The 16,905-nt window shown below is 34.6% G+C and overlaps 1 long non-coding RNA gene across 1 annotated transcript in view, besides 1 other annotated feature; it reads left to right on the forward strand.

The window, feature by feature from the left end:
• Positions 1-5,115: 5,115 nt before the first annotated feature.
• Positions 5,116-16,905, forward strand: part of LOC124900945 (uncharacterized) — a 70,896-nt gene continuing 59,106 nt past the window's right edge. The window contains exon 1 of the long non-coding RNA XR_007058701.1: positions 5,116-5,478. This is a non-coding gene — a long non-coding RNA (uncharacterized LOC124900945). The remainder of the gene's footprint in view (positions 5,479-16,905) is intronic.
• Positions 5,269-5,770: an enhancer, noted in NCBI's record as "NANOG hESC enhancer chr5:15425914-15426415 (GRCh37/hg19 assembly coordinates)". NCBI's record gives its function as "activates a minimal SCP1, AML or CMV promoter by ChIP-STARR-seq in primed H9 embryonic stem cells {active_cell/tissue: H9 hESC(primed)}" and the evidence as "EXISTENCE:reporter gene assay evidence [ECO:0000049][PMID:30033119]".

Raw genomic sequence — 16,905 nt, forward strand, 5'->3', positions numbered from 1 at the left:
AGTATTGAAGAAAACTAACTGCCTGACCTCAATGAGTAATACGTCAGTGGGAGAAACAGTAAACAAATAGATAGGTATATTATACTGCCATGTTATGGCATGCTAGGAAGTAAAGTTAAAAAAGATCAGTGGATAGAGAGTGAGAGATGATGGACATAGGCAGTCGGGGAATGCTTATTTGAGGAATTGACACCAGCAGAAGTGATGGAAGTTAAAATGACATTCCATCAGGAGCATTTGTTCAACACATTTTTGTGGGTGCAAAGGACCCATCAGGCATTGGAAATCAACTGTGGAAAGGACACACATAGTTGCTGCTTAGGAGTTTACAGTCTAGGACTTAACAGAAAAGCAAGGGAAAAATAAGTAGATGTATGGGTTAAAAATGATTACAAGGTTTTGTGTGATAACCTCAAAAATTTGACATGTGTGTAAAGATTTACCTTTTTGTGATTGCATTTGCACACTACAAAAAGACTTTACTTTTAGTGACAATGGTATTTATATGGCCAGAAAATATTAACATATAATGAAGATGGAATGAACTTTGAAGACTAGTCTCAGAGATTTCCGTTATTCTGTGCTCTTGAACTTAACTCAGAGGCCGCTATAATAGGCTTTCTCTTTTAATTATTTCAATAAAGAATATTTCCTTGAAAATGGTATTTAATAAACTATAGCAATTTTTTCACAACTTGACCTTGTTTTATGCTCTATGATATCCTAACTATTCATATACTTAGGCAATCATATGATATCCAAAGTATTCATAATTCTCTCTCTGGGCATCTGAACAGCCTGTACCATCCAATATAAGTAGAAATGTATTTAGTGTAAAGAACTAAACATAACAAATTCATAAAGGATGGAAAAACCAGCTGTATTTTTGGTTTATGAAATGTCTCTATTTTTTAAATAGTTTGGATTAGATAAAACCCAACTAGGTTTTGCCAAGAACGCTTCCCTCTTAATTTTTGAAATCATGCACAATTTTGCAGAAATTTACTCCATATGTTTCTATTTCATTTACACTTAAATCAGAAAAATATTGCTTTGTAAGATCCATTTGATGTTCAAGAAGCCATCTGAATTAGTCCAATACGGTTCTCTTTAAATTAAGATATAACTCACATACCATAATTAAATCCAGTATTTTCTGTGTGTGTGTATCTTCTCAAAGTTGTGCAACCATTACCACTATCTCGTTCCAGAACAAATTCAGGTTTAAAATACAATGTGTACATGAAGAATGTTGGATTTTAACAACAAGAAATTTATAAATGGGCAGCATGGTGAGGTTTACCTTGGTACTCCCGGTCTGAAACTTCATGTGTAGGTAAGAGACTTGCTGCAGCCGTAATATCGCATTCATAAATCAGAACAATTCTGTATTTCACAAAGTGGCTGCAGGGCTCAGAGGTTATCACAATGATGCGTTTCTTTACACTGAGTAATATACCACTGTGGCTCAAGTTGAACATTCTACTGCTTTCCTACTCAGGCCCATTCCCCGATGACATTTTTTTGACAGCTTTTTGACCTGGAAAATCCAAGACCACTGGGTCCTGATCACACAACTTTTGGCTCAAAACAAAAGGTTCCCCTGGCTCTCACTTATGATCCCATCCAGCTAAACCACTGCCAGAAAACTGAGAGACTACATAAGGACGATTTGAAGACAGAATGTTCCCTTAGTTACCTCTGTGTATTGAATTTGGAACTTTCTGCTTAAGATGGAATGAGAATAGTGAGTCATAAAACGTAATTTGTTATCTCAGTGAGGCTTTTCAGATGGTATTTAAGGACATTGCACTGTCAGTTTCTTCAAGGATAAAATAAAGATTCCTGTCAAATACTGATATCCCTCTTCATCAAGTTTAGTTCTCAATTAGATATATTAGATTTGGAACATAGAAAAATAGTGTTAACAACAGATGGAATAAAATAGCATGACATAGTGCATTTAGCCATAATTCCTAGCATTTAGGAGTCATGACACCCAAGCTTTGAAAATTTGGTGTTTTAAGACCTCACTCCTTTATTTTACACAAAACAAAACATACTAAATTAAAAAAATTTTTTTTTCAAGCATCATGTTATTTGTTGAAATAATGGAACTGTGGAATTTTGGAGATTTTCCTTCATTTTTAAGACCCAGTTTTCTATTTATAAAATAGGAATAACAATTGCTACCGAACAGAATTAATGTAGAATAAATTGGATGATAGCCTGCATATGAAACATTCAACAGCACAGCCCCTGGCTCACCAAAGGTAAATAATTACTGAATTTGTACTTGAGTCCTGGCTAGTAAGTTGACTTATGTTGAGACAACTAGAATTAGTTTCTGTATTTGTTCTTCCAGGAGATAAAGGAGTGTTTTAGTAATCACTGTATTTTTTTTTGTGAATGCATTGCTTCATCTATAAAATAAACACAGTGTCGAATAAAAAGTGGTTTGCGTGTTTTCTATTAAGCATTTCATAATGAAACTACCACTTATTATGATCACTATGAACTTGTGGTAGCAGGTTCTTCCAATATGGTCGAGAATTTTTGGAAATTAATTTGATACAGTATCTCATTAATAGTCCTCTTTTCCTATATCAAGTTTAGGGCCAATTCTCATGGTCTACAAATTAGGCAAGTTTTGCTATGCCCTGTTTTTTCTTTTTATGTCCCCTTGGCAGTGCTTTTTATTGACATGACAACAAGCTGTCTGGATGAAAAGTAAAATATTCAATCATCTGGATGTTTTGTCTATACAATGCTACATGTTTTGATGTTATGTAGACAAAACATCCAGATAATCGATTTTTTTCTTTTTATCCAGATGTTCTGGCATTATTTATTCAGAGCTTGTGTCTAGTTTACCAGCTATTGAAAAAGAAATAGAACACAAATATAAGAGGTTACTTCAAATGACACAAAAAACATATTGTACATTAGATCTCAGGTGGGCATTTTTTTTGTATTGAAATAATTCATTGATTGAATACCTATGGTATTTATTCTGCATTGTTGTATTTCACATGTATGAGACATTGCACAGATAAAGATGGTTGGATATACACTATATCATTTAAAATACTGGTTACAAATTATTTAGGATGGATAGGGACAAAGCAAGAAAGCTTACTTTGATGAAGCAAATCCTTTGAGGTTAAGACCATGGAAGACACTAATAATTGCTTACAAAAGCCATTCTGAGCTCTATTTTTTCTTTTTGTCTTCTAATAACGGTATGGTTTGGCTCTGTGTCCCCACCCAAATCTCATCTTGAATTGTAATCCCCATATGTCAAGGGAGGGAAGTGATTGGATAGTGGGATCAGTTTCCCCCATGTTGTTCTCATGATAGTGAGTTATCACAGGATCTGATGGTTTTATAAGTGTTTGAAAGTTCCACCTTCACACCCTCTCCTGCCACCTTGTAAAGAATGCACCTGCTTCCCCATCCACCATGAGTGTAAGTTTCCTGAGCCCTCCCCAGCTGTGCAGAACTGTGAGTCAATTAAACTTATTTCCTTTAAACTACCTAGTCCTGGGTATTTCTTTACAGCAGTATGAAAACAGACTATACAGATATCAAGATTGAAAAGCCAGACACTTTTCTTTCTTGGCCTCTTAGTTACAGATGGGTGACCAAGGGATTCGATTTTAGATAATGAGGCTGTAAAGGGACGTGTATTATGGCATTACTGAGAAACCTAGCTTGCTTATTGATGAAAAGAATAGATGTAAAGAAGAGCTAATTCGCTTTGCTCCTTCCTCAATCTTCCTTCGTTGAGTATGGAAGTGATGCTAGAGCTGCAGCAGCCATTTTGAAACCATAAGCATGAGGAAAACCAGCAAGAGGAGGAGTGAATTACATAAAAGAATAGGTTCTTGCCACCATTGTTGCTGATTTAGCCTTAGTCCTCCCACCTTCAAACTTTTATTAATACCCTTGTGCTTGTAGCTACTGTTAATCATGTATTTTGTTGTATGTATCTGAAAACATTCCTAACTGATACATATGCAGGTATTATGTCCCTTTAATGCACAATAAAACTATAGCAAAGATTGCTAAACTGGCTTGCCCAATGTCATAACTGCAAAATCAGTGTGAAAACCAGGCTGGAGCCCAAGTCTCATGGCTCCTGTCACCAGACGTACTAGGTTTCTGAAGGCACAAAGTATTCACCAGCCAAATGATCAGGACTTAACTCAGAGGGAGTTAAGATGCCACTATCGATAAAAGTAATATAAAAACTGTTCAAAGATACTTAAATCAGCATAGTGGATTCCCCTTTTTTTTTTTCCTAAATATGAAACATATCAGAGCAGCTTTTGACTTTTTGAAAGCTGTAGAAACTAAGAATCAGAATTTAATATTTGACACTCTGTTCCAACACAATATTCTCTAGATCCCTCAAGAAGTTAGCTCTTGAAGAGTTTTAGTGACGTCAGAGCATGTTGAACAGGGGAAAGAAAGAGCATGGGTTTTAAAATAGTCAGATGTGTGTATAACTTACATATTTGCACTTGCCAGAGATAAAATCTCAGGACAGGCACTTACCTGCGTAGTTTTTTCATCTTTAATATGGTGCTAATCCAATTCACCTCTTCAATTCTTGTGAAGATTAATTGGAACAAGGCACACACAGCACCCAGCCCAGTGTCTGGCAAATAGGTGCAACTTAAATAATAGGAGCTATTGTTCTTATGGACTAGTCAAGAAACTGCCAGGTCCAGATAATGTAATACGAATGCCCTGAATAGTCAGTCACTCTCCTAGTCTACCCAGGTGACCTTCTCCAGTGTGGCCATGATTAGATTAAACTTGAAGGTCTTGATAAAAGACCCATGCAACAACTAAGTGCCCGCACATGTATCAGGGATTCAGCCACTGTGGTTTGCATCACCCGCATTGGGTAAAATCGTGGCTCAGGTTAACAAGGTATATCACCTGATCACCCAGTCTTCTGGCTATAAAGATCCAAGGGAGCCATCCAACTACTTGAAAGCTAGATTCTGGTTTTGGTTGATTTACTCACCACAGTGAATAACCTGGTTCCATTCTCCATTTAACAAGCGTCTTGTCAAAGCACCTTGCTGGTTTATATCCTGAAAAAGGAAATTAAAGTACTAACGGTGAGCCAGACGCCACGGCTCGTCACACGCACACAGCAAGCTCTGAATTCTAGTGAGCTCTTGTTTCAGTAAATTCAGCTTACTGTGTCTTTTCACAAAATAACAACTACCGGGAAGTGCTTTCTGTTCTGAATTCTCAAATGAAAAATAAAACCTTGGGCTCCAGCTGAAAGGTGGAATCTGCCATTCGATTCCTAACACAGGGAGTGGAGTTGGAGTGAGAGAACATGAAGCCAGCTCTACAATTTTTGCATTGTATAATGTTTTCCACGAACTTGGCAGAAGCCCACAAAGGAAAGACAGTTGGTGCTTAGGAGCTAGCCTTGATTTTCTGCTTGGGACGGTGAGTATCAGGAATCCATTCTTAATGAAAAGCAAACAGAGGATCACTACTTTCCCCCACACATTCCTTACATATTTATACTTGAACGTACTCTGTAGAGAGAGTTTTTCTTTCTTTCTTTCTTTCTTTTTTTTTTTTTAACGCATTCTGCATTCAGAGGGTGTGCACAGGAAAGCCTCATCTGGAGGGTTGGGGCTAGAATAGCAAACTGGAAGTTAACCCTTGCAGGCAACTATATTCACGCTAGCTTGAATATAAAGTACCATATGAATGGGGGATACTGTGGTATACTAAGACATTTCAAAGAAAGTTTCAAAACTAATTTTCAAATGTTATCCTTAGGGATACAGAAGCAACTCATCCTCTTCTATGGCTAGGCAATCTCTTTACTTCTAAGGTAGGCTTGTTGAAATGGAAAAAGTTCTGAAGAGGTGTCAAAGCTTCAGTCCCTTGTTGTGCAGCTATATTCCCACGAGCTTACCTCTAGCGGGTTCAGTTTTCTCATTTCTAAAAGAGCAGTAGTGGCTCCCCAATGTGTAACCAAATTCTGGTGAAGGATACTGTGTGAAATCACCTGAAAAACGTAAAGTACTGTGTGAATGGGAAGCATTATTTTATGGCATACGAAGACATTTAAGACAGTTTCAAAAGTAGATTAACTTTCAAATATTTATGTAAAAATAGACTCTTCAATTAAACATTTGATTTTGAGATACTTATAGATTTACATAAACTTGTAAGAAATAATAAAGAGAGTTCTGGTGTACCTTTTTCCCAGTTTCTCCCTGTCTTTTTCAGCTCACGCTGCCACAACAAAACACCATAGATTGAGTAGCTTAACCAGCAGAAATTTATTTTCCCATAGTCTGAAGGCTAGAAGTCCAAGATGAAGATGCCAGCATGGCTGGTTTCTGGCGAAAGCTCTGCTCCTGGCTTGCAAACAGACACTCTCTAGCTGGGTCCTCACAGAGTAGGTAGAGAGAGAACAGGTGTCTGGTGTTTATACTTATAAGGACACTAATTCCACTAGGAGGACTCCTCCCATAATTTCAATTAAGCCAAATTACCTCCTAGAGGTCTCGCCTCCAAACACCATGACATTCGAGTTTAGGGTTTCAACATGTGAATCTGGCAGGGGACAAATTCTTTCCATAGCATTCCTAATAGTAACATCTTGCAAATCTACAGTAAAATATCACAGCTAGGATATTTACATGATGCAGTCAAAGCCCCCAAAATTTCCATCATCACAAGGATCCAAGTTATTCTTTTATAACCCATCCCATTTCCCTTCCACCCTCACCTCTCCTTAACACCTGAAACCGTGAATCTGCTGTCCATTTCTATAATTTTATCACTTCAGAAGTATTATAAAAATTGAATCACACAGTATTAACCTTTGGGACTAGCCTTTTCACTAGTCACAATTTTCTGAATATTCCTCTGGGTTGTTGAATGTATCAATCTGTTTCTTTTCCTTGCTGAGTGCTGTTCCAGCATATAGATATAACACAATTTGTTTAACTATTCACCCATTGAAAAACATCTAAGTTGTTTCCAGCTTGTGAATATTACAAATAAAGCTACTATAAATTCATATACAGAATTTGGGTAATATAAGGTTTCATTTTTCTGAGATAAACACCCAAACATGCAATTGTTGGACCACATGATAGAGGCATGTTTACTGTCTGTAAAAAAATGAAATACTGAAAAACTGTTTTTCAGAGTTGATACACCATCTTAGATATCCAACAATAACATATGATTCAGCTTCTTTTTATAACTGCCACCATTAGGTGTTTTCAATATTTTTAATTTTAACCTTTCTGACAGGTGTAATGTTTCATTGTGGTTTTAATTTTCATTTCCCTATTTGTCATCTGTATATCCTCTTCAGTGAAATGTCTCTTATCCATCATCTAATTTGATTGTTTGTTTACTTTTATTATGGAGATTTGAAGGTTTTTTTAAATATTCTAGACATGAGTCTTTTGCCAGACTGGTAATTTGCAAATATTTTCTCCCAGTCTTCCCACTCTTTCAACAAAGATATTCCACAGAGCAGAGACTTTAATTTAAATTTAATTATATTTTAATGAAATGTAATTTACCATACCACTACCAAAAGTATGGCTCATACTTTTGTTTTCAAGCCTAAGAATTCTTTGTATGGCCCTAGATTATGAAGATTTTCTGCTATGATTTTTTCTAAAAATGTTACAGGTTTATGTTTTATATTTAAGTGTGTGATTCATTTTGAGTTAAATTTTACATAAGATGTGACAGTTAGGTTGAGGTTTGTATTTTGCTTATAAATGTTTGCTCCAGCTCCATTTGTTGAAAGGCTCTTGTTTCTCCATTGAATTTTTGCATTTTTGCCAAAAATCAGTTGGACATATTTGTATAGATCTATTTCTGGATTCTCTATTCTGTTCCACTAAGTTGTGTGTCTATCCCTCCAGAAACACCACACAAACTTGATTGCTGTTGCAATATAGTAAGCCTTAAAATTGAAGGGACTGATTCCTCCTACTTTATTCTTTTTCTAAATAGTTTTAGTTATTCTAATACCTTTCCCTTTCCATATAAGTTTTGGAATAATTTTGCCTATATCTACAAAATGGGATTTTAATAGAAAGTGCATATAATCTATACATCAATTGGGGATAATATCAATTGGGGATAATGTTTACTATGAGTCAAGCTATGAAGAGTGATTACCTCCCATTTATTTATATATTTCTTTGATTTCTTTTATAAGTCTTTTGTAGTTTTCAATATTCAAATTCTGTATGTGTATTTATCATTAAAAATTTCATTTTTGAACAGTTACAAATGATATTGTATTTTTAATTTCGAATTCCATTATGTTCATTGCTTGTATATAGAAACACAATTATGTATGTTTATCTTGTGTCCTACAACCTTGATAAGCTCACTTGTTAGTTCTGATAGTCTCAGTTTTCTTTCATCTGAAAATGTCTTGATTTCTCCTTCATTCCTCAAAGATATTTTTACTACCTATAAGATTCTACGTTGGCAGTTCTTTTCTTTCAACCCTTGAAAAATATTGTACCACTTCCTATGGCCTCCATGATATCTGGTTAAGAAAACCACTGTCATTTGTATTCGTTTTCCCCTAAAGAAAAGGTGCCATTTCTCTATTTGCTGCTTTACGTATTTTTTATCTTTAGTTTATAGGAGTTTGACTATAATGTATCTCAGGGTGAATTTGTTTGGGGTACCCTGTTTGTGTTTCACTTAGCTTCTTGAATCTATATATTTATTTTAATTTTTTATTTCCATAGGTTTTTGGGGAACAGGTGGTATTTGGTTACATAAATAAGTTCTTTAGTGGTGATTTCTCAGATTTTGGTGCACCCATCACCTGAGCAGTACACAGTGTACCCAATTTGTAGTCTTATGTATTTATTTTTAGTTTTTGTCAAATTTGTGAAGTTTTCAGACATTATTTCTGTAAGCACTCTTTCAGCCCTTTCACTTTCTCCTCTCCCTCTGAGATTCTTATGATTATATATACAGAGAGAGAGAGATGAGATTTTTAAAGAATTGGCTAATATCGTTGTGGAGGTTGGGCAAGTCCAAAATCAGCAGGGTAGGTTGGTAGGCTGGAGATCCGGAGAAGAGTTGCAGTTCCAGTTGAAAGGTGGTCCACTGGAAGAATTCCCTCTTTTCTTTAGGGAGCTCAGTTGTCTGCTATTAAAGCTTTCAACTGATTGGATGAGGCCCACCTGCATTATGAAGGATAAGCTGTTTTACTTAGTCTACTGATTTGAATGTTAATCTTATCTTTAAGAAATGCATGTAAAATAATTTTTGACCAAATATCTGAATACCATGGTCTAGCCAATTTGGCTCATAAAACTGACCATCACAGTTCCACAGGACCCTGAGGAACAGGGACCTTTATTCATTTTTTCAGTGTATTTTATTTTTATTGTTAAAATTAAGTAATGACTATTATCTGTCTTCGACTCACTCCTTTTCTCTGTTCCCTCCATTCTGCTTTTGGGCTTATCCATTGAATTTTTCATTTCAGTTATTTTATTTTTAGTTCTAAAATTTCCATGCTTCTTTAGATATTATATTTCTTTGGTGAGACTTTCTGTTTCTTCTCTAAGGACTTCTATTTTTCATTTGTTTTAAATATGTTTATAATTGCTCACTGAAGCATTTCTATGATGACTGTTCTAAATCTTTGACAGATAATTCTAACATCTATGTCATCTTGGTACTGGCATCTATTAATTGTCTTTTTTTCTTTCAGTTTGATATCTTCCTGGTTCTTGGTATGATGAGTGATGTTCTATTGAGACCTGGACATCTTGGGTATTGTGTTGTGAGACTATGGGCTATGCAAACTTCCTGTTTTAGCTGCCTTCTCTGGAACCACTCTGGAAAGTGAAGTGGGACAGGGAGCAATGCCTCATTACTTCCAGGTGGGAGCAAAGGTCCAGGTTTCCCATTTAGCCTACTTTGACATGACGGGGAGGTGAGCCTCATTAATGCTGGGCAAACGTGGGTGTTTCCACTCCCAGCTTAGCATCCCAACCTGATTAGAAGGGGTAGCAATCCCTCATTACTGGTTCCTACTTGGCCTCCAATGATACCACAAGGCATGGAGTGGGCCTTGTTATTGCTGAGCAGTGGTGAAAGTTCTGACTATGCCTCCTCTGACATCATTCCAGATGGGAAGTAGAAAGTCTCTTACTACTGCTGGGTTGGAACGAAATCCAGCATCATATTTAGCCTTCTCTAACACTACCCCAGCTAGAGTTTGGGGCACCTCATTATGGCCTGGTAAAGATAGAAGTCTGATTCTCTGCTCAGCCTTTGCTGGAGAGAATCCCCTCTTCCTGGCTCTTTGTCTAGAGAGAGCAACATCTTGTTGAACTTATTTTGTCTACATCCTCGGGCATTTCCAGGTTGCTGTCTTCTTTAACTCCAAGTCTGGGATACATAAGGAAGAAAAGAAAACAAAGGGAATTTATTTCTATGCTGTTCCTTAAATCCTGAGGTCTTGGCCAGAGTACTACCTTCTCTACTTTTCAAAGTACTCTTACGGTTATTTTATATCTAACATCTAGGTTTTTAAGTCATACTTAGCAGGAAGAATAGGGAAAAATACCCCTATTTTATATTCCTTGAAGCAGAAGTTAATAAAAACTCGCTTTAATGAGGGGAATTAAGAGGGCAAACAATATCAAATAATAATTCAATATTGTAACTCCAGTGGAATTATGGCTTATCACTAAGCTAGAAACTACAAAAGTAGCTCCTATTCAAGTGTTCTTACTAGAATAATATTTTTACTTTGGAAGTCTACTGAACTCCCATCTCAAATTTTCTCACTTAAAATATTTTAATTGTTTTATAGTATTTATGTCTTTAGTTTATTATGATATTTGAATGTATTTATTTTAAATTGTGGTATAGGATATGGAAAATATTTAATTCTGTATTTTTATCATAAATTTCTACTTTCTCTGGAGGAAAGTGAGATATTTGACTTTCCTCCCCATTCCTAGCCAGTTCCCAACTTTATCACTGATATCCACAAGTAAAAGAATTTAGGGTCACATTGACTATTCATTTTCAATGAAGTCCTAGATCATACTAAGACCCTCCCTTTGCCTTCTTAACATATTCAAATAATAAGACTGCACATTTTTGGTTTTTAAAACTTCAAGTTTATCTAGGAAATGTTTTCATTTCCAAATTCTAAAATCTTAAAATAATTTTAATAGTAAAAAATATAATAAATTTTATTTCAAAAGTTCAGATTCCTATGTTTCTTATGTATAAATTAAAATTATTAAAATTAATTAATTACAAGAACTCTTTCAATAGTTAACTTTCTATGGTTATAGTTGACACAGCATGCTAGTGGCTGATATGGAATTAGAACTCTCTTATCTCGACCTATACACATCTGATCGATCTTATGTCTAGCTGTTTCTCTCAGGAGCCCTAGAAGGGAAGTGATTTTACCACCATTTTGCATGTAAGGAAATGAGCTCATTGACCAACATCACAAACTTAGTAACTAATGCGTTAAACTTTCCAAGATAACATAATTAGCAACTGGCAGAACTGTAAGTCACTCATTTTCAGTATTCTGACTCCAAATGCAGTGCTTTTTTTTTTTTCTGCATCAAAGCTCTCTCTCTGTGACTGTGTGACTGATTTCAAGCTCTGCTTCCTCTGAAAGGATACACAAATGCAAGCAATGTCCTAGAGTAAGTGTCCAAACTGTTTTCTCCTCATTCTGCTTTGAGTACTCCATGCTCTTCTTAATACCTTACAATGACTTACCTTTGCCTCCATTTGAGATGAAGGCAAAGATCTTTACAGTCTTCCTCAAATCTCTTTATAAGGAAGCTTCTAATTCTTCTAAAGAGTAGTGGCTCCTCCTTAAATAACTAGAAAACAGGACAAAATAGATTATACAATGGTTTTCAGACATTGGACTACTGGCAGTGCCGCACTGTGATTCCTGAGAAAATAAAAACAAATGAGGTGAGCCCTGTGATTTTACCAGCTCAGTGCCTGGATGCAGCTCTAGGCCATAGTGCAAGGAGAATAAATCCAACAGAGGCAACAGTCTTGCTGAGTTGAGCAGACACAATTCAGAGGCTTTGTCCTTTTCATGGAGACAGAGGTGGCTAGAATTTTCAGAGAAGAGTGCCAGAGAGGAGGGAACTCCATAAAGAAAAGTCTGAATATTTGTGGAGGTGATGCTTTAAGTCTTTCACTGATATTAATCTGCATACACAGGAGAAAAAAATACTCAAAGCTGGGGAAAGAACCACTGAAAAACTATAAGCAGAAGAATTGCCAATGTTCACATAAACTGAGTTCACGTGCCCATCAGCCAGAGTAGAAAGGTCCTACAAGGCATGTTTCATTGAGTTTTCACAAAATGATATCACCTTAGTAGTGGGATTAAATTAGATTTAAACTATAGGGTGCTCTGGGCATGCCCTAACAAAGCATAAAAGTGTGCCTCAAAAGGATCATACTGATTCCAAATGATACTAAGTGTGACCAAGGGACGATTTAAAACTATACAAAGGAAAACAGAAAAACTAGCAACCAAAACCAAATTATAAAATTTGTGACATTCAGCATCAAAATAAAATTATCAGGTATGCAAAAAATAGAAGAATATGATTCAAAGCCAAAAGGAAAAATCACTTAATAGACACAGACCCAGAAATGACAGAGATGATGGAGGTAGCCAACAAAGACATTACAACAACTATTGTAAATATGCTCCATATGTTCAACAAGGTAGAGAAAAACATCATTACGATGAAGAGAAAATAAAAGATTTTTTTAAAAACCAAAAGGGAACTTATATAAGCAAAAGATGTAATATCTAAAATGGATATCATACAGGGTAAAATTAGATAAAGGAGACGCTGAAGAAAAAAAGTAGTTAACTCTGAAGCCAGCAATAGAAGCTACCCAAAATGAAGTAGAGATAGAAACAAGACAAAATAATTAATAATGAATCAGTTATCTGAGCAACAATATTAGTTTAATAAACATATAATTGAAGCTCCAGAAGGAGAGGAGGAGAAACAGAAAAAAAAGTTGGGGAAGTGAATACCAGAGTTTTACAAATTTGATAAAACTTATGAACTCATGGATTCAAGAATTATGCCAAGAAATACCATAATCAAATTTCTGGAAACAAGTGAATAGGAGATACTTTTAAATACAACTAAAGAGGAAAAGACACATGAAACATGAAGGAACAAAGGTGAGAATGACAACATATTTCTTGTCAGAAGAAAACGTAACCCAGAAAACAATGGAGCAATGTCCTTAAAATCTTATGTCAGAAAACGTCAACCAAAAATCGTATACTCAGCAAAAATATGTTGCAGAAATAAAGGCCTAATAAAAACTCTTAGACAAACCACAGTTAGAGAAGTTATTTCTGGCAAATCTACACCTCAAGAACTCTTAAGGAAAGTTTCTCAAAAGTGATAACAGATGGGATTCTGAAATTTGCACAAAGGAATGAAAACATTTAGAGATGATAAATATGTGGGTGAGTATAAAATATATTTTCTCATTTTAGTCTCTTCAGAAGAAAATTGTTTAAAACAAAAATAAGGATAATGTGTTGTGTGATTCATAACATATGCAGAAATAAAATGCATCACAAATACAGCACAATAGAAGAATGTGTTATAAGATTTAGTCAGTATAGGCTGGGCGCGGTGGCTCATGCCTGTAATTCTGGCACTTTGGGATGCCAAGGTGGGAGGATCACGAGGTCAGGAGATTGAGACCATCCTAGCCAACCTGGTGAAACCCCGTCTCTACCAAAAATACAAAAATTAGCTGGGTGTGGTGGTGCACACCTGTAGTCCCAGCTACTCAGGAGGCTGAGGCAGGAGAATTGCTTGAACCCAGGAGGCAGAGGTTGCAGTGAGCTGAGATTCTGCCACTGCACTCCAGCCTGCAGAGTGAGACTCCGTCTTCTCAAAAAAAAAAAGAAAAAAAAAAAAGATTTAGTCAGTGTATAACAGTAATATAATAGTATTTGAAGGTAGACTGTGTAATGTTAAAGATGGGTATTTTAAATCTTAAGGAGTACACAAAAACATAAAGCAATATATTACACCTAAAATAGTGGTAGTGGAGACTAAATGTAAGTATTAAAAATATATAAGTAGTTAAAATAATGCAGAAAATAGAAGCTAAAAGAATAAATAAGAGATAGGACAAATAGAAAATGAACAGCAAGATGGTGGATTTTGTGAAAATCCCATCAACAATGTTATTAAATGCAAATGATCCAAGAATTCAAATGAAAAGGGAGAGATTTTTAGATTGGATTTAAAAAATAATGCCATTATATCTAAAGACACAGATGCACTAAAATTAAAAAGATAGAGAAAAATATATTATGAAAACCCTAATCACAAGAAAGCTGGAAATGTTATATTAATATCAAAGTAAATTTAAGAACAAGGAATATTATCAAGATAAAGAAAGATATTTCATAGTAAATAATAGATTAATATATCAGTAAAACATACTAACCCTAAATATTAATAGATTTTATAGCAGAACTTCAAAACATAAAGCAAAACTTCAAACTAAAGGAAAAATAGAAAAAGTTATGTTTGCAAACTTCAACATTCCTCTCAATAATTAATAGAATAAGTGGGGAAATCAGTGAGCATATATATGACTTTTACTTAACCTAGTTGTCAGTGATAAAACAAAAAAAGAATATCCATTATTTTAATGTACACAGAAAGCATTCACAAAATTAGACCATATTCAGAATCATAAAACAAATTTCATCAAATTTAAAAGGATTGTAATCATACTAAGTATGTTTTCTGTCCATTATTAAATTAAATTAGAAATCAATAACAAGTGGATAACTAGACAATGTTAAAATATTTGAAAATTGAAACATACAAGTTTGAATAACCCATGAATTAAAGAAGCAGTAGAACAGTTGATTAGAAAATATTTCAAACTGAAGGAAAATGAAAACATAACATCAATATTTGTAAGGTGTAGCTAATGTAATGCTTTGAGGGAAGTATACAGACAGTCCAGACTTACAGTGGTCCAACTTATGACTTTTCATCTTTGCAATGGTGTGAAAACAATACACATTCAGTAGAAACTATACTTTGAGTGTCCATATACCATTTTGCTTTCCATTTTCAGTACAGTATTTAATAAGTTACATGAGATATTCAATACCTTATTATAAAATAGGCTGTGTGTTAGATGATTTTGCCGAAGTGTAGGCTAGTGAGTGTTTTGAGTGTGTTTAAGGTAGACTAGGCTAAGCTATGATGTTTAGTAGCTTAGGTGTATTAAATGCATTTTCAACTGACAATATTTTTAACTTATAATGAGTTTCTTGGGATGTAACCCCATTGTAAGTGGAGAAGCATCCACATAGAGTTGAATGTTCATATAAGAAAACAAAGAAGGGCTCAAAGCAATGTTCTTAGATCCCACTTTAAAGAGACTAGACAAAAGTAATTAAAGGAAATGAAAGGAAATAATGAAAGGAGATATGAGCAGAAATCAATAATAAAGAAAATAAAATATAGCAAAGAAAATCCATGAAATCTAAAGCTGGTTATGAAGAACATCCACAAAATTTACAAAATTCTACCAAGATTGATCAAAAAAGCAGGGGAAAGAGGCCAAATTACCAAAGTCAGGAATAAAAGAGGGACATTACCACACATTCTACAAACCACATTCTATTGATCTATGAGACCAATAAGGAGCTATTGCCAGCAACTCTATAAACCAATGAATATGACAGTTTTTAACAATATGGACACATTATTTAAAAGACACAAACTACTAAATCTTACTTTAAAAGAAATATTGTGAGTATCCTAAGCATAGTAAAAAACCTTCCCAGAAACAAGAGCTCCAGGAACAGATGGCTTCATTGTTGAATCCTAGCAAACATTTAGCGAACAAGCCAGAGCAATTTTGTTAAACTTTCCTGGAAACTAGAAGAGAAACATACTTTCTAACTCATGAAGTTGTGAGTAAGGCACTCACAATTCATGGACAGACAAGGAATCACAAAAAAGAAAACAACCAGAGAGTATCTATATGAGCACAAGTGCAAAAATGTTAATAAAATGTTAAAAAGATTTATTCCAGCAATATTTTATTGAAATATAAACCATGATCAAGTGAGCTTTATGACAAAAAGGCAAGATTTGTTTAATATTTTAAAATTATCTCAATAGATGCAGAAAAATTATTTGGAAAATTTAATATTCATAACTAAATAAATGATAAAAAGGATTAAAACTTTTGTCAATAAATAATAAAAGGGATCTTCTTTATTACAAAGTCAACAGCTAACATCATATAGATTATGAAAGACTGGACACTTTCCTTGTGAAAACTGGGAAAAAGGCGATTTTCACTCCTACTCTTCAATACCATAATGGAGATTCTGTTCAGCAAAATGAGGCAAGAAAAAGTCATACAGATCTGAAAACTGAATTAAGACTTTTTATCCACAGACAACATGATCATTTATGTGGAAAATCTTATAAAATCCAAAAATGAGCTGATAAATAAGTTTAGGAAATTCATAGACTCTAAAAGATCAATATACAAAAACTAACTGTATTTCTATACAATAGAAAAAAATTGGAAATTAAAATATTTTAAAATGTTACTTATAAAAAATTAAAACTATGAAATATTTAGGTAAAAGCTTAATGAAACTTTTGCAAGACTGTGCACTGAAAAAGACAAAATATTTCTGAGAGAAATAAGACCAAAATAAATGGATAGTATACTATGTTCCTGGCTCAGAAGACTCAACATCACTAAGATTTCAATTCTCCCCAAATTAAAATGTATTTTCAACAC

Source organism: Homo sapiens, chromosome 5 (assembly GCF_000001405.40).
Source record: "Homo sapiens chromosome 5, GRCh38.p14 Primary Assembly".
NCBI lineage: Eukaryota > Metazoa > Chordata > Mammalia > Primates > Hominidae > Homo > Homo sapiens.